The sequence below is a fragment of the Homo sapiens genome, chromosome 9, assembly GCF_000001405.40.
Source record: "Homo sapiens chromosome 9, GRCh38.p14 Primary Assembly".
NCBI classification, from domain to species: domain Eukaryota; kingdom Metazoa; phylum Chordata; class Mammalia; order Primates; family Hominidae; genus Homo; species Homo sapiens.
Window position 1 is genome coordinate 74,163,060 of NC_000009.12, and position 25,740 is coordinate 74,188,799.

The 25,740-nt window shown below is 36.9% G+C and overlaps 1 long non-coding RNA gene across 2 annotated transcripts in view; it reads right to left on the minus strand.

Moving 5' to 3' along the window:
* LOC101927329 (uncharacterized) overlaps positions 1-25,740 on the minus strand; it is a 154,205-nt gene that overhangs the window by 41,878 nt on the left and 86,587 nt on the right. For both annotated transcript variants that reach the window (XR_242624.4, XR_929946.3), the window contains exons 3-4: positions 11,467-11,634; positions 9,873-10,079 (exon numbers count right to left, since the gene is read on the minus strand). This is a non-coding gene — a long non-coding RNA (uncharacterized LOC101927329). The remainder of the gene's footprint in view (positions 1-9,872; positions 10,080-11,466; positions 11,635-25,740) is intronic.

Genomic DNA, 25,740 nt, shown 5'->3' on the forward strand with positions numbered 1-25,740 from the left:
TGATGGTTAGGATATTCAAAGTGTGAAGAGGTTGCTGCCATGTACTAGCTATTGCTTCATCGCTCTGTGCCTCAGTTTACCCTTTTATAAAATGGTATTAATAATAATACCTGGGATTCCTGGGCAAGATGGCTGAACAGGAAGAGCTCTGGTCTGCAGCTCCCAGCGAGATCAATGCAGAAGGCAGGTGATTTCTGCATTTCCAACTGAGGTACCCAAATCATATAACTGGGACTGGTTAGACAATGGGTGCAGCCCACAGAGGGCAAGCCAAAGCAGGGTGGGGCATCACCTCACCCAGGAAGCACAAGGGGTCAGGGAACTCCCTCCCCTAGCCAAGGGAAGCCTTGAGGGACTGTGCCATGAGGAATGGTGCATTGTGGCCCAGATACTACGCTTTTCCCATGGTTTTCCTAACTCACAGACAAGGAGATTCCCTTGGGTGACTACACCACAAGGGCCCAGGGTTTCAAGCACAAAAAACTGGGCAGCCATTTGGGTAGACACTGAGCTAGCTGCAGGAGTTTTTTGTTTTTTTTTTTTTTTTTTTTTATTCCAGTGGTGCCTGGAATGCCAGCAAGACAGAACTGTTCAATCCCCTGGAAAGGGGACTGAAGCCAGGAAGCCAAGTGGTCTTGCTCAGCAGATCCCACCCCTACAAAGCCCAGCAAGCTAAGATCCACTGGCTTGAAATTCCTGCTGCCAGCACAGCAGTCTGAAGTCAACCTGGGACGCTAGAGCTTGGTGGGTGGAGGGGCGTCTGCCATAAATGAGGCTTGAGTAGGCGATTTTTCCCACACTGTGTAAACAAAGCCACTGGGAAGTTCGGACTGCATGGAGCCCACCACAGCTCAGCAAAGCCACTGTAGCCAGACTGCCTCTCTAGATTCCTCCTCTCTGGGCAGGGAGTCTCTGAAAGAAAGGCAGTAGCCCCAGTCAGGGGCTTATAGATAAGATTATTTGAAAATTCTTATGTATATGAAACCAACCTATCATATTGCACTTTGGTCTTTTTTCTGCTACTTTTTTTTCAAATGTGAGCCTAATACCAATAAATATTAAAATACAGCTATTTTATTAAAAAAAAATCCCATCTCCTTGGGACAGAGCACCTGGGGGAAGGGGCAACTGTGGGTGCAGTTTCAGCAGACTTAAACTTTCTGGCCTGCCAGCTCTGACGAGAGCAGTGGATCTCCCAGCACAGCACTCAAGCTCTGCTAAGGGGCAAACTGGCTCCTCAAGTGGATCCCTGACCCTCATGCCTCCTGACTGGGAGACATCTCCCAGCAGGGGTCAACAGACATCTCATACAGGAGAGCTCCAGCTGGCATCAGGAGGCTCCCCCTCTGGGACAAAGCTTCCAGAGGACAGAGCAGGCAGCAATCTTTGCTGTTCTGCAGCCTCTGCTGGTGATACCCAGGCAAACAGGGTCTGGAGTGGACCCCCAGCAAACTCCAGCAGAACTGCAGAAGAGGGGCCTGTTAGAAGAAAACTAACAAAGAGAAAGCAATAGCTACAGCATCAACAAAAAGGACCACCATGCAAAACCTCCACCCAAGGGTCATCAACAGTAAAGACCAAAGGTAAATAAATCTACAAAGATGAGGAAAAAACAGCACAAAAAGGCTGAAAATTCCAAAAACCAGAATGCCTCTTCTCCTCCAAAGGATCACAACTCCTTGCCAGAAAAGGAACAAAACTGGACAGAGAATGAGTTTGATGAATTGACAGAAGTAGGCTTCAGAAAGTGGGTAATAACAAACTCCTCTGAGCTAAAGGAGCATATTCTAACCTTATGCAAGGAGGCTAAGAACCTTGATAAAAGGTTAGAGGAATTGCTAACTAGAATAACCAGTTTAGAGAAGAACATAAATGACCCTATGGAGCTGAAAAACATAGCATGAGAACTTTGGGAAGCATATACATGTATCAGTAGCCAAATTGATCCAGTGGAGGAAAGGATATCAGAGATTGAAGATCGATTTAATGAAATAAAGTGTGAAGACAAGATTAGAGAAAAAAAGTATGAAAAGAAATGAACAAAGCCTCCAAGAAATATGGAACTATGTGAAAAGACCAAACCTACATTTGATTGGTGTATCTGAAAGTGACAGGGAGAATGGAATCAAGTTGGAAAACACACTTAAGATATTATCCAGGAGAACTTCCCCAACCTAGAAAGACAGGCCAACATTCAAATTCAGTAAATACAGAGAACACCACAAAAATACTGCTTGAGAAGAGCACCCCCAAGACACATAATTGTCAGATTCACCAAGGTTGAAATGAAGGAAAAAATGTTAAGGGCAATCAGAAAGAAAGGTTGGGTTACCCACAAAGGGAAGCCCATCAGATTAACAGCAGATCTCTCTGCAGAAACCCTACAAGCCAGAAGAGAGTGGGTGCCAATATTCAACATTCTTAAAGAAAAGAATGTTCAACCCAGAATTTCATAGCCAGCCAAACTAAGCTTCATAAGTGAAGGAGAAATAAAATCCTTTACAGACAAGCAAATGCTGAGGGATTTTGTCAACACCAGGCCTGCCTTACACGAGCTCTTGAAGGAAGCACTAAATATGGAAAGGAAAAACTGGTACCAGCCACTGCTGGTACCATCGACAAATCAAAATCTAAAGACTGTAACACTATGAAGAAACTGAATCAACTACCAGGCAAAATAACCAGCTAACATCATAACGACAGGATCAAATTCACACATAAAAATATAAACCTTAAATGTAAATGGGCTAAATGCCTCAATTAAAAGGCACAGACTGGCAAATTGGATAAAGAGTCAAGACCAGGACGGGCGCTGTGGCTCACGCCTGTAATCCCAGCACTTTGGGAGGCCGAGGCAGGTGGATCACGAGATCAGGAGATCGAGACCATTCTGGCTAACATGGTGAAACCCCATCTCTACTAAAAATACAAAAAATTAGCTGGGCATTGTAGCAGGCGCCTGTAGTCCCAGCTACTCAGGAGGCTGAGGCAGGAGAATGGCGTGAACCTGGGAGGCAGAGCTTGCAGTGAGCTGAGATCACGCCACTGCACTCCAGCCTGGGCAACAGAGTGAGACTCTGTCTCCAAAAAAAAAAAAAAAAAAGGAATCAAAACCAATCTGTGTGCTGTATTCAGGAGAACCATCTCATGTGCAAAGACACACATAGGCTCAAAATAAAGAGATGCAGGAAGATTTACCAAGCAAATGGAAAGCAAAAAAAGCAGGAGTTGCAATCCTAGTCTCTGATAAAATAGATTTTAAACCAACAAAGATAAAAAAGACAAAGAAGGGCATTACATAATGGTAAAGTGATCAATTCAACAAGAAGAGCTAACTATCCCAAATATATATGCACCCAATACAGGGGCACCCAGATTGATAAAGCAAGTCCTTAGAGAAATACAAAGCAACTTAGACTCCCACACAATAATAATGGGAGACTTTAACACCCCACTGTCAATCAATATTAGACAGATCAATGAGACAGACAATTAACAAGGATATTCAGGACTTGAAGTCAGCTCTGCACTAAGCAGACCTAATAGACATCTACAGAACTCTACACCCCAAATCAACAGAATATACATTCTAGTCAGCACCACATCGAACTTATTCTAAAATTGATCACTTAAGAAGTAAAAACCTCCTCAGCAGATGCAGAAGAACAGAAATCATAACAAACAGTCTCTCAGACCATAGTGCAATCAAATTAGAACTCAGGATTAAGAAACCCACTCAAAACCGCACAATTACATGGAAACTGAACAACCTGCTCCTGAACGACTACTGGGTAAATAACGAAATAAAGGCAGAAATGAAGATGTCCTTTGAAACCAATGAGAACAAAGACACAACGTACCAGAATCTCCGGGACACATTTAAAGCAGTGTGTAGAGGGAAATTTATAGCACTAAATGCCCACAAGAGAAAGCAGGAAAGATCTAAAATGGACACTCTAACATCACAATTAAAAGAACTAGAAAAGTAAGAGCAAACAAATTCAAAAGCTAGCAGAAGGCAAGAATAAACTAAGATCAGAGCAGAACTGAAGGAGATAGAGACACAAAAAACCCTTCAAAAAATCAATGAATCCAGGAGCTGGTTTTTTGAAAAAAGCAACAAAATTGATAGACTGCTAGCAAGACTAATAAAGAAGAAAAGAGAGAAGAATCAAATAGATGCAATAAAAAATAATAAAGGGGATATCACCACCGATCCCACAGAAATACAAACCACTGTCAGAGAATAGTATAAACACCTCTATGCAAATAAACTAGAAAATCTAGAAGAAATGGATAAATTCCTGGACACATACACCCTCCCAAGAATAAACCAGGAAGAAGTTGAATCTCTGAATAGACCAATAACAGGTTCTGAAATTGAGGCAATAATTAATAGCCTACCAACCAAAAAATGTCCAGGACCAGACAGATTCACAGTCGAATTCTACCAGAGGTACAAAGAGGAGCTGGTACCATTCCTTCTGAAACTATTCCAATCAATAGAAAAAGAGGGAATCCTCCCTAACTCATTTTATGAGGCCAGCCTCATCCTGATACCAAAGCCTGGCAGAGACACAACAAAAAAAGAGAGTTTTAGACCAATATCCCTGATGAACATCAATGCGAAAATCCTCAATAAAATACTGGCAAACCAATCCAGCAACACATCAAAAAGCTTATCCATCACAATCAGGTCGGCTTCATCCCTGGGGTGCAAGGCTGATTCAACATATGCAAATCAATAAACGTAATCCATCACATAAATAGAACCAATGACAAAAACCACATGATTATCTCAATAGATGCAGAAAAGGCCTTTGACAAAATTCAACAGTCTTTCATGCTAAAAACTCAATAAACTAGGTATTGATGGGACATATCTCAAAATAATGAGAGCTATTTATGACAAACCCACAGCCAATATCATACTGAATGGGCAAAAACTGGATGCATTCCCTTTGAAAACCGGCACAAGACAAGGATGCCCTCTCTCACCACTCCTATTCGACATAGTGTTGGAAGTTCTGGCCGGGCAATCAGGCAAAAGAAAGAAATAAAGGGTATTCGATTAGGAAAAGAGGAAGTCAAATCGTCCCTGTTTGCAGATGACATGACTGCATATTTAGAAAACCCCATCATCTCAACCCAAAATCGCCTTAAGCTGATAAGCAAATTCAGCGAAGTCTCAGGATACAAAATCAATGTGCAAAAACACAAGCATTGCTATATACCAATAATAGACAAACAGAAAGCCAAATCATGAGTGAACTCCCATTCACAACTGCTACAAAGAGAATAAAATACCTAGGAATAAAACTTCCAAGGGATATGAAGGACCTCTTCAAGGATAACTACAAACCACTGCTCAAGGAAATAAGAGAGGACACAAACAAATGAAAAAATATTCCATGCTCATGGATAGGTAGAATCAATAGTGTGGAAATGGCCATACTGCCCAAGGTAATTGATAGATTTAATGCTATTCCCATCAAGCTACCATTGCCTTTCTTCATAGAATTTGACAAAACTACTTTAAATTTCACATGGAACCAAATAAGAGCCCATAAGGCCAAGACAATCCTAAGCAAAAAGAACAAAGCTGGAGGCATCGTACTACTTGGCTTCAAACTATACTAGAAGATTACAGTAACCAAAATAGCATGGTACAGGTACCAAAACAGATATATAGACCAAAGGAACAGAACAGAGGCCTCAGAAATAACACCACACAACTACAACCATCTGATCTTTGACAAAGTTGACAAAAACAAGCAATGGGGAAGGATTCCCTATTTAATAAATGGTGTTGGGAAAACTGGCTAGCCGTATGCAGAAAACTGAAACTGGACCCCTTCCTTACACCTATATAAAAATCAACTCAAGATGGATTAAAGATTTAAATGTAAGACCTAAAACCATAAAAACCCAGGAGAAAACCTAGGCAATACCATTCAGGACATAGGCAAGGGCAAGGACTTCATGACTAAAACACCGAAAGCAATTGCAACAAAAGCCAAAATTGATAACTGGGATCTAATTAAACTAAAGAGCTTCTGCACAGTGAAAGAAACTATCATCTGAATGTACAGACAACCTACAGAATGGGAGAAAATTTTTGCAATCTATCCATTTGACAAAGGACTAATATCTAGAATCTATAAGGAACTTAAACAAATTTACAAAAAAAAAAAACAAACGACGCCATCAAAAAGTGGGCGAAGGATATGAACAGACACTTCTCAAAAGAAGACATTTATACAGACAAGAAACATATGAAAAAAAGCTCATGATCACTGGTCATTAGAGAAATGCAAATCAAAACCGCAATGAGATACCATCTCACACCAGTTAGAATGGCGCTCATTTAAAAGTCATGAAACAACAGATGCTGGAGAGGATGTGGAGAAATAGGCATGCTTTTACACTGTTGGTGGGAGTGTAAATTAGTTCAATCATTGTGAAAGACAGTGCAGCTATTCCTCAAGGATCTAGAACCAGAAATATCATCTGACCCAGCAATCCCATTACTGTTACCTAAATCAACTCCACTCGCATTCTGCCTCCTGCTTTTATCTCTGAGAGTAGATTCCACCAACTTTCCATTGCTGTATTAATCCACATTCTTTCTCCTAATAACTGTGTTATGAATTGACCCTGTAGCAATAAAATCTGACCCTTCTCATCACATTGAGTTAATATGCATTGAAATGCTGCTTTATCTGATGTTTTATCTCCTCCTTCTTTCCCTTTCATTCTTTCCCTCTCCATTTCCTCTTTCCTAATTTGTTTTGTACATATGTTAGCTTAATCATTTACTCATGAATTTTTTGAGTCACATTTAAAGACTTATTTCTATAATTATAAAAATTAAGAATTACACATTATCTAATATGTTCTCTTAGTGTAAAAAGAGTTAAATCAGTATACTTTTTCTTCCTCCTAAAATTTTGTTATTTTTTACCTTCTAGTTTTTATAAGGCATAATCTAAGACTTCCAGTAAGTTTATTCTTGTCAAGTTATCATTTCTAATATTCTATTTATATATTTTATTCAAAGAACTATTTATGACATACAATTATCTATATACAAGGTATGTTTAAATGAAATATCATTATGTTTAAATGAATGCAATTCTCACATTTACTTCTATAGCATGGCTTTTTTTTTTTTTTTTTTGAGACAGCATTTCGCTCTTGTCACCCAGGCTGGAGTGCCATGGCACGATCTCAGCTCACTGCAACCTCCACCTCCCGGGTTTAAGCGATTCTCCTGCCTCGGCCTCCCAAGTAGCTGAGATTATAGGCATCCACCACCATAACTGGCTAATTTTTTGTATTTTTAGTCGAGACGGGGTTTGCCATGCTGGTCAGGCTGGTCTTGAACTCCTGACCTCAGGTGATCTGCCCTCCTCAGGCTCTCAAAGTGGTGGGATTACAGGCATGAGCCACTGTGCCCGGCCCCAGTGGCTTTTTTTTTTTTTTTTTTTTTTTTTTTTGAGACGGTGTCTCGCTTTGTCGCTCAGGCTGGAGTGCAGTGGTGTGATCTCGGCTCACTGCAAGCTCCGCCTAGTGGCTTTTTTATTTGGGAGTTCTTTATATTGTTTTATTAATCATTAGCCTAAAATAGGTCCTTGTGCATTTTCTTAGTGGAAAGAAACACAGGCATTGTATTTGTAGAGTTTGTATGTCTGATTTTTCCTATTTTCTTACATATTAATATCAACCTTAATGAGAAACTAATATCTTTGCCTTCTTCAGCAGCTTTTTTAAGTTGTGCAGACATTAGTCTATTCTTCTGGCATCTAATATTAAAGAAGAGTTTGAAGCCATAGTTGATATTTATTTTCTTGTAGATAACTTGATTTTCTTCATGAATTCTCATAATACTTTCACATTTCAAAATGCTACCAGGTTGTGTTATTTCTTCACTCTCCCTTCCCCTGACAAAATTTTAGACTTTTCCCCTGACATAAACTGGATGAGATTACTTTTGATTTACCATTCAATAGTGCAGAAATCTGAGGTTCCCTAAATTTTAGCTGAGTGTCGCCCCAGAAAGGAAATGTTGACTCTGTGCTTTCTTCTTTGGGTTTTATGAGCCTGTTGACATAAGCAGAACCTTCCTAAACCTAATTATGTATTTAGTCTAAACTAGACCAGATTTGAGATATTCAGCCTCTTTTCTCATGCTACAGAATGAAACAGCTTCAGATAGAGTCCAAGAGACAGAGAAACCATACGTCTCCCTGAGTTTCCATTTGGTGTCATTATGTTTGCCCCTGAACAATCATTTTCTCAAGAATTTAGAGGAAAAATCACAGGGAACTTGCTGGAAATTTACATTCTTAAGCCTCATACCAGAGCTTCTTAATCAGAATAACTGGGTGTAACTTGAAAGATCTTCAATGTTTTTGGTTTTTTGTTTTTTTTTTGTAAGCAACCCGGGACTAAGTGATGGAAGACAGTGCCCTGGGATCTCACAACAAGAACTAGTTGGGTGCCCCTATTCCGACACCTACCTTTGCCTTTATTTCTTTGTCCCATGGAATTAGGACAAGTGTCTGCCAAATTCTTACTAATGCCCCTCAGCACTACACTGTTTTCCCATGAAAGAGAAATTGTGAGTGGGCCCTTGGTATCACCCTTGAATTCTGCCTCATCTTCATTCTGGAAGAATTAGAAGGAAGACCTCCTTCCCAAAAGAATTTCCAGCAACAAAATAGACTCTTCTGTATTTTCCTAGTTCTTTTATCATTATTAGCCAAGATATGCATGCATGGAACATTAGTAAGTTGAACATGAGTTGAAATTTTATTCTAAAAACCTTCCTAATACAATTTAAAATTTTTAAAAGTTCATGTTGATGGACTGCTGAATGAAGTGTATCTTCCTGTGGAAGACGTTGTTTATTATAATATCAATATCTTTCTACATGCATCAAAATGCCAGGTCTTCTTATGTTCATGTAACCTAAAAATCTTAAATAACTCCTGTTCTATCTCACTTGGACACCAAATGCTGACACATCTTACCTTAGCTAACTGTTATCTGCCACACATTATACATGCTATACATCAATTCTATTTAAGCACAAAAAGAAGAACCAAAAAATTACGCAGATTTTCAGGACATAGTGTTCGATGACATCTTGATGAGAATACCAAGTCCTGGGCGTTGGCAGAATCAGATGTTTTACTGTCTTGTCCAGGTAACTATATGAATGGGATTTCTAGAACTCATCTGCAGTGTCATCACAATAAATGGGCCCACTAACCATCATTAAAGAGACAGCCACCCTACATAGATAGTGTGGGTATTATTATGAATGGAAAGAGTTGGCAAGAAAGAGGGAACAGTGGAAGAAGGAGAGATACTGAAATTCAAAGCCTATTGGCTCAGACAGTAAGACAAAAAAAAAAAAAGAAAAAAGACAAGCTCCAGGAACACTAGCTGACTTGGGGGCCTTGCATGAATTTGGCAAAAAGCAGAAAGCGGAAAAACAAAAACAAACAAACAAACAAAAACAAGAAGTACTGCATTGAAGGCAGGGGCCCAAGTTACCTAGGTCTAAGGGTGGTAATGTTATAATCACACAAAGGTGCAGTATGCAATAGAAGCTTTAAACCTAGGTATCGCATTCACTGAAAACGTTTTCAGCTAAAGTGTCTCCTTCAATTAGTGCTGTTCAAAATAAAATAATTGGGAAAGTACATGACCCATAATATGTGAGGCTTTTAAGATTCTGACACAGAACAAATTACTTTTCGGGTGAAAAATTTTAGGAAGGTATTTTGGTCATCTATTTTTGTATAACAAATTACCCCCAAACATAAAAGTTTAAACACTATCCCTTTTGGTTACTAGCTCACCTTTGTGACTTGGACAGGCTTGTTAGAGAGAACCTGTCTTGGCCCCTGGTAGTGTCACCCATGATGGCTCAGCTTGGGCCATCTATCTCGGACTTCAGTTTTCACTGTTGTTTAGGTTTCTCAGTTCCCCTCCCTGTGGTTAGCTTGGACTTCCTCACAATATGGTAATCTCGAGTCAGTCAGACTTTTTGCATGGTAGCTAGGTTTCTGCAGAATGCAAAAATAAACATTACCAGGTCTTCTTAAGGCATAGACATGGAGCTGGCAAACAGTTGCTTCTGCCACATTTTATTGATTAAGGTATATTAAAGGGCCAGCCCAGAATCAAGGGGAGGGGTCCGAATGAGGACATATATTCGCAGAGGCATAGTTTATTAGAGCACCCAAATACCAATTAACTACAGAGGGAAAAATTTTTCTTTATATCCAGACAAATATGGGTGAGTATTTAGTTGTCTAAAGAAATGTGTCTATATTTTAAGTATTTCTTCAAAAAGTCACGTGACCTAGTACTCAAAGTCATCGAACTAAAATTTATGATTTGATACTATTAATAGCATAAATTTTCTGCAGAAACAGAAAAACCACAAAGGTTTAAGATTGCATTGTGAAAGTAACAACAGCTGTTAAAAAATGAAAGTAGTAAAAATTTAAGCAAGGGTCGGCATAAATTTCATTCACAAACCTCTCAGAAAAGTGAAATAAGTTGATGTCGATGACTCTACATAAAATAGTGACATAAAATGGAATGAAATCAATTGTTATAGATAATCCTTTTTCAAAAAAGCCGCATAATGCATCTCCTTTCTGTTATTTGTGTGTGTGTGTGTGTATCCTTGAGTAATGTAACTATTCAGTTTAGGAATATATTCCCAGACAGCATTAAGAGAGACTGCTTTTTTAAGCCGAGAAGGAAAAAGTCTAAACTCTCAGCATCTGTCAGGATCTTATGGAAAAGAGTCAGACAATTTTTAGGTATTTAAGAATAATAACTAAATTAATATGTAGTCAAATAACAGTGGGACTGAGCTTACATACTGTTGTATTTAAGAAAAAATGGTGTGAAGGCAATTTGTAAAGAAATATAAAATGTATTTTTAAGGTAGTAAATGTATTAGGTATAATAGAACTTTACCCAAATTTGTTGTGGAATAAAGTTCTCTGTTCCACTGAATATTATAAATTAATATAACTTGGATGATTCAAAAGCTTAAAAAGTTTTTGAATAATCATTGTAAGCATTCATTCAAATTCAATACCAATGTAAATATATTTGAATTTTTTTAATTTGCAAAACAATTTTGCTTATATTACCTACATAATGCTTGCAACTACTCTGTAGAGTAGTTCTTCCAATTTTTGTTTTAGTGATCAAATGAAATACTCTCTTAACTGGCCACAGTTTTTTCTCCAATTTTAGAGTTCATTCTCTACTATAAAAGTTCAACATATTATTGTTTGGCACAGTGGTATTGTCTAATACATTTGCCCTGAATCAATAGAATGATGTTACGTGAGGGTGCCAGAAGGCCAATGTAAGGACAGAGTTTACAGGACATGATAAGAAGATTCCAGCACACCGGCTGACTCTTACCACAGGTCCCACATGGCAACAGCTGATTGAGTGGGTTGGCCACTGTTCCTCCTCTTGCAGGGAGCAGGCACGCTTTGAAAAAGGACTTAGGATCTCATGTTTGCTATAATACCACCACTGTATTTCTGGCGATCTTGGCTCCTTTCTTCAAGTTTTACAGCCTCTGACCTAAAGTAAAAATGGCAATTAGAAATTCATTTACTGAAGTTAAATTGTACAAAAGAGTTCATTCTACTCTACCGTTAGTTACAGAAGTCAATTTTTTGACAGAAGATTGGATGAATATGGGTTCTACATGCAGACCAGCCTTAAGGGCAGTAGGCCTGGGTAGGATGTTCCAGTGCTGAGTAAACACTGGGGAAGGAGGCTGAGGGTAAACAGGAGACAGCCTTGGATCATAGACACCAGGAGAAGGGAGAGCTTCTCAAGTTGGAGAGGACACTTGAACAGACAGAATGAAGTCATTAGTGCATGTCAAACATCTTGCTGAGATTTTAGGGGGTAGTCTGAGCCAGGGATAAGATTGATACTGATTTCTCAGTATTTTCCATGATATAATTGTATGTTAAGGAGGTTTGACAGAAAGTTACCTACTTAAATCACATCACTTTCTATTTTGTTATTGTATTTTTTTTTCCATGGGAGCTGATAAAATCTGCCTACAAAAATCAGTTTTAAATAGGGTTAGTTATAAATCTTCTGAGATCTGAAAAATTTGTTACAGAAAGAATTTCTCTGAATTACTTTTTTTCCCCAATCAAGGGTGTATACATTTGACCAAATAATGCCCTTTATACGAAGACTCTGATTAATTTCTTTCAAATCTCTAGACCAAGAAAATACTTGTTTCTACAGAGAAGTTGACACATTTTATTCTACTATGTTTCTGAACGTTTAGTTTTTCTCTTTCCCATGGTTTCTGGGATGCTTAGAGCTAATATTTTTATGAAATTGTGCAGGTTTATGAAACACAAATTTTTGAAATTTTTTTAGCTTTTCCTCACCCTTTGATGACTGATTTGCCCACTTAAAGAAAAACAAATCTCGTACTAATTTGTGTATTACAGAACTTTGGAGTTTTATTGGTTGTTAACTCTCTTCTAGAAGTGTGAATAAATCATTTTCATATACATATTTCTAAATTTTTCCTAGGGATACCACTGAACTCAAAGTAATGTGTTTGACTAATTATTGATAATCACTTAACACAGTTGTCAAATTTCTTTCTTCGGTTTTTGAGATTTGAAGTTAAAAGAGAAATTATGTTATTCCTTGTTGAGAATGTACCCTTTCTGTGTTACTGAGTCAGTCACTTAATTTATCTTGTATTTTCATTTGTAATATAAAATCAAGGATGTCTATTTCTCTGAATTCTGAGCATATCCAATGAGATAATATATTTGAAACATTTTGTAAGCTATAAAGTGGTAACGTAAACTGTTATTATTAATTCCTCATAAATTAAAGCACAGGAAAGCTAACATTTTGACAATTTTATTCAAAATTAATTGGAATTTACAAATGTATGTATGCAACATGTTGGGATTTAAATATCTTGTTGAAATTAATATACAAAACAATCGTTTAAGTAAATTTCTTTAAGTGGCTTAATGTCTGTCAGTCAATCAAAGAAATAACAACCTTTGCATAGGTAGTGCTATCTGCTCAGCCTTAAAGAGCAATGAATACATTTTTATCAATTTCATTCATTTACTTGACTTTTCTCTTTCCTCAAAACTATGCTTCATTTGAACAATATTTTTAATATGTATTTTGTTTTCTATTTATATGGTTACCACTGTATTTCTCAAATGTTCATCACCTTTATCTGAATCAAAGTTGTCTATCTTTAATCACCAGCCCTAACATGCAGAGAATCCATCTACACAATTGCCAAAAACGTCACTTCATAATGATCCAAGCATAAATTGACACATTATAAACTTGATTTGTTAGTAATCATATAGAGGAGTTAACATTTTAAAAATAAAATTAGATCCCTCCTCCTTGCTCTTCTCTGTAGTAGCAGAAACCCAGACCTAATCTACTGATCTAACTAAAATATATTCAAGTGGAAACATAGAGATTTTAATATATGTTTTTGCTACATTATTTTCAACTAGAAGTAATCTTTTAAAAATGCATTTTAGTATCCCAGATGGGAAAGTAGAAATGGAAAATAGGAAAGATATTTCACTTGGTTTTGGAAGGAAAGCACATCAATTAACAGATTTTAAATTATTGGCCTGCTTTCACAAATTAATGTATTTTGAGGCAGTGTGTATATGCAGAAAAGAAGTTTCATAGTATCTGTTACTATTCCTTTAAGAACTGTAACTTCAGTAAGAAAGTAATGAGTTGAAAGAATTAGAAAGACATCAGGAGCTTTCTAACAATTAGAAGAATCTGTTAATTAGCACAGAATATGAATCTTAAGCTGCCTTGCTCATCAAATCATTTATTTTAATGAAGCAATGTTGATCAGAAACCTTACTAACACAAAAAATAATTATAAAAAAAAATTAAATAAGCAAAAGGCTTCAACAGAAATATGGCCCAGGACTACAAGACGTAGATTCACTTAAAATTGAGATGATGATGTTATATTACCTTTCTTTTGATGCTTCTGCCCAAATTAATTAACTGAAATTAACTGAAATTTGATTTATCAATATAAAGGAAGAATGTATCCACCATGCCAAACAGGGTGAAAATGACCCATTAGGCTGGCCATGTTAAGAGATTAGAAAAAATAGGACTGGCTCAGTGTCCATTTAAATAACCATCATGAGAGTTCACTATTCATGATCATTGTGAAGAAATGAGAAAATTGTAACAGCAGCTATTCAGAGTTCATCAATTGATATTTCATTGAATTTTAAAATATCAAGTAGAAAAGAATTAAAGAAGTATTAGTGAGTGCAATGGAGGCTTAGAATATGTGATGGAGAACAGTATGTCTGGCATGTGAGTGCTTTCATAGAATTTATCAGCATATAGACTTAACTGGTTTTATTACCTTGTGAGAATTGACTTTATGTGCCCAGCCTAGTTTTCCTAGTATCTCTCTAAAACTCAAGTTAGCCCTCTATTTTCAGTCCCTCCTTTGGGCTCCCAGAGTGTATATTTATTTTTTGGTGAGTTTTTTCTCTCTGAAGTGTACTACAAAATCCTGGCTTTATACTTTGATTATAAGCAGAATTACTGTGTGTCAGGTCTTATTACCTTCTAACCTAAGAAGAATGCTATGATATGAATGACATGAATCTGAGTTTCACACACGAGAGAGACACAGAGAGAGAGAAGAGAAAGAGAGAGAAATAGGAATTTAGAAGTCCACAAAAATGTTTTAATTTATTTTAACCTCAAAATAAAATTATTTTTAGTTTGAGAAAACACTTTACTACATAATGTTACTATATTTATCTTTATATTGATATTGTCATAGTATATACTTTTTAGTTATTTGTTATTTTTTAAAAGAAAAAGAGGCCCACAAACATCATATTATGGCCTTGAAAGCGATAAAGAGAGAAACAAAGAGAAAATTTACTTCCACCATTGAAGAAAATAACTTTCAGGCTTAGGTCTGAGACCTCATGTATTATGACACCAGGTAAAAATATTGAACCTCCCCTAAACCCAGGAGGTCAGGGATGTTTCTGCTTTTTCTTATTTTCACTATTGCATAAGTTAAATTGGCGGTTCTAGACTACTACTAATGAAGTTCAGGTATTAAAACCAGATGTAAAGACCTAAGTTCAAATACTATTGATAAATAATAACTTATTTATTGAGCATTTACTATATTAAGCTTCTGATAAATTGTCTTGTCACAATAATCCTATGAGATGATTATGATTATTAACAACCATTATTATTACAAATAACAATAACTTAATTATTAATTAAGTCTAAAGACTTCACTTCCCTTAGCTGAAAAGTCATTAATAATAATCATCATCTCATAGATAAATAATAATCTTCACATAGATAAAGGGATCTGTACACCCTTAGCCATATTAGGCCTCAAATTATTTTCGAGATTAAAGGGAATTATAAATTTATTTCATTATTCACCTTTTTGTTGAGATCCTGAAGTGCACATTATTTCAAAATTTTAACTTATTTAACCTATAAATATTTACTTCTATAAATATTTATTTCTCTAAAGAGTTATGAAGTTGAATCCTAAAAAAAGAAGGATTAAGAGCAGTTTAACTTCAAACTGCTAATGTCATATATTGAATTGATGGAAAAGCCGCTGCCTGAGGAAGTATAAATTGGTATAACACCTTTGAATACCACAGTTTGGTAGCACCTGGTAAAGTTGAACATATGTGCACACCAGGGCCCAACAATCCCATTCCAAGGTACACACCCAAAGAAAGGAGTATGCGTGTGCCGCTAAATATTCAAGAATATTAAACTGGAAGGATCACATATATCCATCACAACATTAAGTATATATACATTATACTATATTCATATGATGGAATGCTCTGTTGCAATGAAAATGAACTAACTACCTTCATGCACAAAACCATGGCTGAGTTTTACAACTGTACTCTTGAAAGAAAACTGATACAAAAGAATGCATGTGACTGTATAATTGCATTTTTATAAAGTTCAAAAACAGACAAAATTCAGTTATAGCTCTAGAAGTTGAGACAGTGGTTTCCCTGGGTGAGGGTTGAAGAGATTTTGATTGAAATGGATCACCAGAATGGCTTGTAGATTCCAGTAATGATCTCTTTTTTTGACCTAGGGGCTATTTCACTACTGTGTTCACTATTTGATAATTTATTGAATTTAGGATTTATGAACTTTTATTATGCATATCATATTTCAGTATACAAATATTTTTAAATGAAGGTAAAAATTCATGCTGTTAAAATTCTACATTGTGTTAAACTGCATGCAAATAGAATATAATAGAGGAATAGATAGAACTTTTCTTATGAGACTTGCTAACTTGTGGAGGAAATTATCAAAAAAGAAAGAAGTCTGCATTAGCCTGACATGCTTTTGTAGGACTAACTCAGACAGAATATAAGGGCAGACTTCTGCGATGATAAATGGAGATATAAGGAATTGATTTAATTGAGATGAGGATAAAACCAATACAGTAGATTTACACATTCCCTAAATTGTAAAATCTATGTATTTTCCCTCTTTAAAGACTTAGTTATCTATCCTGAAGTTGTGTTCTGATTTAATTGTAGAATATTGCAAGGTAGAAACTTACTAAATCAATGATTTCTGACCTGTTTTTATAAATTATTGTGTTAAGGCTACCATATATGAGAGGGAGAAAAACAGCGATTATAAAAATAATTTTAGAAGTTAAAAAGCAAAGGGTGGCTTCGAGCTATAAAAATAATATTTGACAAATATTTATAGCTTGGTAACTCTAAATAGTTTAATGTCTTTTGTATTCTCTCTGACACATTTTGGTCTAAAATAGATTAAATAAATGATAAAATCCATGCTGGGCTCTGCTTTAGTCTGCATGCTGCTGAGCAATCATCAAAGTTAACCAGTAATTTAAGAAATAGATCTATTATTATCTCCCAATGATTAGGTCAGATCAGTCAGGTTGGAATCCTCATTAGTGATGACAAGGGTCTCTGTGCCACTGCCCCTTAACTAACTCACGCACAGCAATGCTGTGGATATTTAATCAACTTATGAGCTATACCTTTGTGGTAAGTCTCCTTCCTCTCCAGAATGAGCAAACTGCTATGCTCAGCATGACCCCTTTACAAAGCCCCCTGCCTGGCAGCCATATCTATCTTTGAAATAGAGGACAGACTTCTCTTCAGATAGCATTTCATCATCACCTGGCCTAAAGGATTCACATAAAACTATGGAGAAATTAAAATATTGAAGTATGAGTAGCCTATAATTTAGGATATACAGTATTACCTTTTGGCTCCTAGATGACCTGCCTCTTCTGAGAAACCCATGTATACAAGAGTCACGATCATCCTGCCAAGTGCTTGTCATGTTTGTGAAAAACTAGACAAGGAAAGCCAAACTTTAAGTGCGTAGCCTATCCACCTACCAGCTCTTAGCTGAGGTCTTCATTCTCATTGTGAAATCTATTTCCATATCCCACAGAAACCCATTATCTCATCATTATTTATCATATCAAACACCTCCTTTTAATTTTAACTTCAATAGGTTTCTTTTTTTTCTGGTGGGGGTTACCCTCCCCTTCCACTTTCTTTCCATCTATTTTTATAAATATATTTACAACCTTTGGGAGAAAAGAAAATTGTTTACACGTATAATTGCACCTAGAAAAAATCAGACTACTAATTCATGTAAACTGTTTGATCCAGAACATTGTTAGAAATTTAATTACTTGTCATAAAGTAAAAATACTTTTTCAGTTCTGGGTCCATTAAAGAAGTAAGGTCTGCTAGCAAGAAAGACACGAAAAACTAAACCTTTGATGGCAGTAGAATTTTGATTGGTAGACACTCAAAGGAAGAAAATGTGTAACGACCAATATAAATTCCACAGTGGCTGTTGTCTTTGTGAATTTTTAAATAGAGAATCAGTGGTTAATTTGCATGGAGACGGAAGATTGTGCTTCATTTTCTTTAAGATTACGTCCAAATTCTTTATCCTGAAATCCATGATTTAAGAAAACATCACGTACTTCCTTATGTGATGCCAAAAAAAAGATACACACAAAATGGATCATAGGCCTAAACATACAAGAGCTAAAACTATAAAACTCTTTTAAGAAAACACAGGAGTAAATCTTAGTGATCTTAGGTCTGGTAAAACCTTCTTAAGCATGAGACCAAACACACAAGCACACACACACACACACAAACAAAATTAGCTAAGCTTCATTAAAATTTAAAACCTTAGTGCTTAAAAAATGACATCAAGAAAGTGAAAATAAAATACACAGAATCAAGAAAATGTATACAAAAATCATATATGTGAAAGTGAATTTATTTAAAGAATATATAAAGAACTAACAATAATGAAAAAACAAATTTTCATAAATGGACAGAAGGTTTGAATAGACATTTCTTCAAAGAAGATACACAAATAGGCACCTGAAAAGATGTTCAACATAATTAGCCATTAGAGAAATACAGTGAGATACTAATTCATACTAACAAGACTGGCTACAACCAAAAAGAAAGATAATAACAAGTGGTTGAGAGGATGTGGAGAAATTGGAACCTTTATATAAGACATGTGGGAAAGTAAAGTGTTGCAGCTGCTTTAACTAATTATTTGACAGTTCCTCAAAATGTTGAACATAGATTTACCAAATGACCCAGAAATCTCATTGCTGAGTAAATATCCAAGAGAAATGTAAATATATGTCTATGCATAAAAAGTTGAAGGCAGTCACTGCAGCAAAAAGTGGAAATAACCCCAATATCATCCACTAATGAATGATAAATAAAATGTAAACTGTCCATACAATAGAATATTATTTAGTTTAAAGAAATAAATGAAGTAATGATATGTGCTAAAACACAAATGATTCTTGAAAATATTATGCTGCATGAAAAAAGAGAGTCACGCAAGACCACACATTATTCAATTTATATTAAATGTGAAAAATAGGTTAACCTATAAAGACAGAAAGTAGAGTAGTGGTTGACTGGGGCTGGTGGAGGGAGAAGAGTGAGTAGGAATGTGGAGTGACTTGCTAAGAGGTACAAGGCTTCTTTTGAGCATGACAAGAAGGTTCTTAAATTCACTATGACGATGGTTTTGCAACTCTGTGAATATACTGAAAACCATTAAAGTATGCACTTTAAATGGGTGAATTGTATCATATGGAAATTATATCTCAAAAAAAGCTGTTAAAAAGTAAAAAACAGTCCAGTTGGGAAGGCCTATAAGGAAACCATAGTACAAAGGTTGTCATAGACATATCTACAAGGTGTCCTAGAAGTGCAGCAGAGAAAAATCTAACATTTTTATGCCACTTAATTCTTATTGACTGCCTTGGGTCATTATGTGTGTGCCTATTAGTGCATATATGTGTGTATGTGTGTATAACAGAGAGTCCTGCCTAGACTTAAATATGTCTGGCCCATGGAGTATTGCAACACTTCAATCACCCAGAAGGAACCTGCTTCTAGTCATGCTTTTGCATATGCTGTAAGCAGTGATGTGCTGGAGCCAGCAGATACCAGTTCAAGAGAGCTGAATATAGGCATCAGTTCCCAATTCTAGGTACACACTGGTTCCCTGTAACTAGCCCTGCTGGGAGTATTTACCCCATAGAAATCAGCTAATGCTACAAATCAAGGCCTTCCTCGCCACCCAAATTGTGGTTGTTAAACATTTGGAAGCATACCACTGGGCCGCCCTTTGAAAGGGAACTCACAGTATTGAAGCAGAATATTTCCCTGACCCCTTCATGGGCAGAAACTGGGGTTCATGGGTGCTGGAACTAGTTGGACACTTCGGCACCAGCAGGGGCAAACTCCACTCACTGCTCCAACCCTTATGGGAGGGGGAGCACAGGTGAGCAGGTGAAGGGGCTGGGGCAAATGCTTTTGGGTACTCACAAGAGCAAATTCAGTACCGGCCCCATGGCAGTGTATGGGGCAGGTGCCTGTGATCCCTGAAGCCCCAGAGGAAGTGTTACACTGCCCTTTTAGCTTTACCATCCACAGACAGCTTAAGTGTTAACAGCTCAGTGGAGGGTCAGTGTGACAGCCTTTTGCACCCACACTCATGGCACCTGAGTTCTTGTCCAGCATCCAGGAGGAATGAGGTCACACGAGCAAATTGAAGATGGTAAATGCAGGGGATTTTATTGCTGATGAAAGTGGCTCTCAGCAGGAAGGGGAGCAGAAAAGGGGATGCAGCAGGAAGGTAACCTTCCTCTGAAGTCCAGCCATCCCCAACCGGACTCTTCTTGAAAGCTATGCTGTCAAGCTGTCTCTCTGAAGTCAAGCCACTTCTCTCCAACATCCAACTGTAGTCTCTGCCAACCAGCTGCTTCTCCGCTCTCTGCTGGCTGAGCCTGGGGTTTTTATGGGCACAGGATGGGAAGTGGGGCAGGCCATGAGCAGTTTTGGAAAAGGCAACATTTGAGTGGGAAAACAGGGATGTAATCTTCTCACTTTGGCCATGGTATCAAGCTTTTCATCTTGAGGGTGGTTCCGTCATCAGGAACCTGCCCTCTTCTGCTGAGAACTTCCCTGCTTCCTGTCCCTATCAGTATTATTCTTGGGATTCAGATATATTCATGAATGCCTGCAAAACTGAAAAAGTCATTTAGAAGCCAAATTGCCTGGGTGCACATTACATCTCTAAGAAAGAATTTATCATAAGGGAGTCCAGAATTTGGCAGGATGAGCCAACCTGAAACAGAAGCTGAGAATCAGGAAAAATCAAGTGTTCAGGGTAAAACTCAAAGGCACATTTAGCACCTTGGAAGGAAACAGCTTTGGAGGAAACTAAAAAGTGCCAGACACAAATTCTGGAATGATACAGTGTTCAAGTAATACTGTAAGCTACAAACAGGAGTCACTTCAGGAAGACTGCCCAGCACTCCAAGGGCAGCAGCGGCAAAGGTGAACTGCAGGGTGGGATCAGCAGCAGGGCAGCACAGCCTGCCCCTCAGTTTGAATGGAAGAGGAACTGAGCCAAGTTTCAGGGCCATGATAGTGACAAATTGTGACTTCTCAGAATAAAGTGACAAATAGAAGGACGTCATATAGAGAAGACTAGTGGTACCTACCTAAGTAGAGGACACAGCAGCAGTGTGGCCCTAGACAAACAGGAGACAGAGGAGAAACCCCTCACTTCTAAGTGAACTCTTGAGCACTCCTCTTGGAAACTCCAAGATATTTTAGGATAGGAATCTCCAGAAACAATCTAAGCAAACTGGGTGTAGGTGTGTGTCGGGTAGCTGTCACTACAGCAACTAGATCATATCTCAAACATAAAACTCATATCATATATTAGAATGGTTTACTTTCCTGTTCCTATCTCATACTACACTGTTGCCTTCTTAGGATAAAATTAATTTTATTCCATATTAACTCCCATGGCAATAACTATAAGGTACATTGTAAGTATTTGATGTTTGTCTAATAACAGAGCTAATTACTACTCTGTATAGCATTTAATATGTGCAGGCAGTGTTCAAAGAGTTTTACACACACTCATTTGAAGTTTCTGAAAGGGTACCAACATTTTTCCCGTTTTCCAGATTAAAAACAAACTGAGGCACAGAAAAAATAAGTAACTTCTCAAGGTCATATATATGCCAGATAAATAATAGAGTGATAGATGATTGATTGATCAATTGATAAGATAGATAATGATAGATTGATTTATATGTTATTCAGAAAACTTGGTTTTCTATTCAGTTTCTGCCACTTTTTAATAATGTTCTATAGGTTTTTTTCAAACTGTGAATAGAAGACTTTCGGTAGGTCATGAAATCAGTTTAGTGGATGGCAACTATAATTTTTTTGAAATAATAGAATGAATAGAATAGAATAGAATAGAATAGAATAGAATAGAATAGAATAGAATAGGAGTAGAGTAGAATAGAATAGATCAAAGTGCATTACATATAGCTAGGGTGAGTTGTTCCGTGAAACCTCTTTCTCAGTTGTGCGTAAGTATGGGAGTATGTTTGTGTATAGTGGGTCATAATGTAAAATCTATTTTCTAATGTGGTCTGCTGTAGAAATTTAAGAATCTCTGACCTAAGACATATTATGTTAATAGTCTCTGAGCCTTAGTTTCTGCAAAGGTCATATATGACTCCTATCATAGAATACCCCTTTCAATAAATGGGTATACACCTTTTTCGATTTAATGGGTATTCTAGAAGGCACTTAGCTAAATTCCAGTTCACTGGCCTTAAGCTTTCTGAACTAATATAACTGAAACCTTGGAGAAAAATGTTTTAAATTAATGAACTAAAATATGCTGTAAGTACCACCATGACCTGGGGTGCCTTTTTCCAAAGACATGTAAATAATTTGACATATTATGACAAATGCAACATGTAAGACTTTTAAAATCACTGTGAGAGAACTCTGCTCAAGAAACTGTGGCCCTGGTAATTACTGAAGACTAGAAACTACCCATCCAGTCTGCCTCAGATGCATCACTGAAGTTATGATTGAACCACAACGCTGCTAGCATTTCTACATTGAGAACGAAATGATAATAATAACAATATCAATAACACATGATTAAATCAGTTATCATATCTGAAGCTGTTTCTTGGTCATAGAAGAAGGGCTGTTAGCTACCTCCACTCAAGAAAACAAAAAATCCAGAACTCCTGAGACCTTTATAAGGGAAAAAATTTAAAAAAGATAAATCACCCAAGCAGAAGGCTATAACCAGTGCAAGTAGTATGTAGCTGTTGCTTAATATTGCTTTGAAGAAAAAGATGTAGAGGAATTATGTGATGGGTATTTTCACCACCTGTTTTCCAAAAATGTTGTACTCCTAGCTTATTGTAAAAGAAAAAGAATTAGATATAGCTCAAAAACCATAAATTAGTTCTTATTTTTGCATGTTTCTTAAACAAGTATATACATCTAGATGTTTTATAGATTGTAAACCTTGTGCTAATATTATTTATTTTATTACCTAACTAATGAGAAGATAAAAAATTAGTATTATCCCTTTTTTACATTTGCTTCAGCAGCCAGCAATTCTCAAAAATTCAAATAGACTCCTGATACAGTGAATGCAGTCGAGTAAAAAGTGTTGAATCCTCAAAAGCAAGAATCCATATGTTAATTGCATACCTTAGCTAAAAATTTTGTACAATTTATCTCATTTAAGCCTCATCAAAAGTCTATAAATATAGTAAATATTATCCTGATTTTAGGAAAAGAATGAAATGTTATTAGGCTAGTAAATTGCTAAGTCAAGATTCACACTGATGTTTTTATGTTTCCAATGCCCATACTCCCTCCATTACATATAGAACATTTAAATCATCAAACTACAGGGGGAAGATAAGGATATATACCATCACTCCACAAAGCATAGCCTAGGGATATTTTGCTCTGTTTTCAGAAGTAACATATTATCACAGTGAGAGGGACTGATCCATAAATAGGAGACATTTAGGCACTAGAGTGACATTTCTTTCATTATTTCATTTCATGTCATTTGCCACATGTTTGTCTCTAATCCCGTGCATGTTCCTCTACCTATGTAATATTCAGTGTGAAATTCTATGTCAGTATATTTAAACTTCCAAAAGTCAGTAGGTTCAGAGTTGTGATTCCCATAGCAACCATAATTCCACCCCTTTGTTTTTATATAGCATTTGTATAACTGGGGAAGTTGTTAAGTTTTATATCTTAATATAAATATGCAGTCATGTTGAGTGTCTTTTTATAGTTGCTGTGGGAACCACAATTTAGAATTTTCTGATTTTCTTTGCATTTAAATTCCCAATCAGATTATTGCAATCATTGGCATTCCTCTAATTTTATTGAAGAAGTGGAAATGGGGAAAAGGAATAGTAATTTTATTATAAATTCTCATAGTTTTTATTTTAAGATACTACATAACTGCCAAGAGGAAAAAAACTCTTTAAAAAATGGAAGGAAAGAACACGGCATATTTTAAAATAAAATGGCAAAAGGAAGGAATACTATGGTAAATAAATGTAAAGTATTTTAAAATATGTGCAATTCCCAAATATTTGGAAATGTTATGTTTTCTTATGGTCACAGAGCAGTAAGGATTAAAATAACAGAGACCTATGAAGTTCTTAGATCTCTTGGTAGGCATTTGTGTGCATGTTACGAGTGAGGAGCAATGTGAGTGTGTGTGGTAGTGAAGTGCGTTTGTATAATTTCTCTTTCCACTCAAAATGTATAGTAGAATTAACCTCAATAGACACAATATTTGCATGTGATTCAATATTTTTATGAGTCTTATGGGGCTATGATGTGAATGTGTGCTTAAAGCCCAGGAACCTTTTGTTTAATAAGAGCTTACTAAAGTCCAATATAAAAGTATAGGTGCTATGATTGAAGAAAGGAGTCTGACGTCAGGATGAATATGCAGACAAATGCAGTAACCAAACTTAACTCATAACACTCCCCTCCCCTACAGCAGCCCCAGTGGGTTTTCGCAATATTTCTGAAACTCCAGGAGCCAAGCTGAAATTTAAATATCATTAGTGTAGACACATCCCCACAATAGAAAAGAAGCCATACTACGTGACATGGAAGTGTATTTCTTTCAAGTTTTGTAGATAGCATCTCTGAAGCCACGTAGATTGTAGTGTTTATGATGATGAACAGGGTTTTATTTCTCCACAAGACAAAGAAGGGGGATGGGGTGCTTTGGGTGCGATATTGTTTGCCTCACAGTTGATAAAAATGATCTTGTGAATTACAAAATCGTATTCTTTCACTGTGAAATAGTTTTTATAAATATTTCCTACCGAACTGAACTGACAAAAATGTTGTGGCTTTGGTGAAGTTAGAGAGACAAAACATATAGTGCTTTCTGGCAGGAAAAGAATAAGCCCCTAGCTTATTAAGATCCAGGTAGGACAAGGTTTGTCCCTCAGGTTTACAGGTCCCCCAACTGAATATTTTCTGGCAACTCCGAGCTGAGCAGACTCAGTGTGGCTGATTTACCCAGTTTAATTCATAGGAGATTGGGATATAAATCCTAATGACAATTTCCTAATTTTGTGTTAAAGTATGATTGCCAAGCTGTCTATACTACTGTGTTTCCTCATTAATATATTCTCCCCATGTAAGTAAATCTTCCTGAGGAGGGTCTTTTTAATCAGGTGGCTGCTTGCAAAGCCTGGAATCAGCGTGGAAGAATCCGAATGGCAAGTGCCGTCTCCGTTGGAATTATTTATTGCCAAGGAGCAAATTAGAGCAGATGTTGGTGGGCAATAAAACCTCCATTCCAGGACTAGCCAGTGTGGGTCATATCCCTTCTCTTAAAATCCATCACTGCCCCAGAACCAACATAGCCCCCCTTCAGGCCTTGTGCTTAACTTGAGGAGCAAGACTTTGTCCAGGCCATGAAGGGTATTAAAGATATTTAATATCAGCCGGGTGCAGTGGCTCATGCCTGTAATCCCAGCACTTTGGGAGGCCGAGGCGGGTGGATCACGAGGTCAGGAGATCGAGACCATCCTGGCTAACGTGGTGAATCCCCATCTCTACTAAAAATACAAAAAATTAGCCAGGCGCGGTGGCAGGCGCCTGTAGTCCCAGCTACTCGGGAGGCTGAGGCAGGAGAATGGTGTGA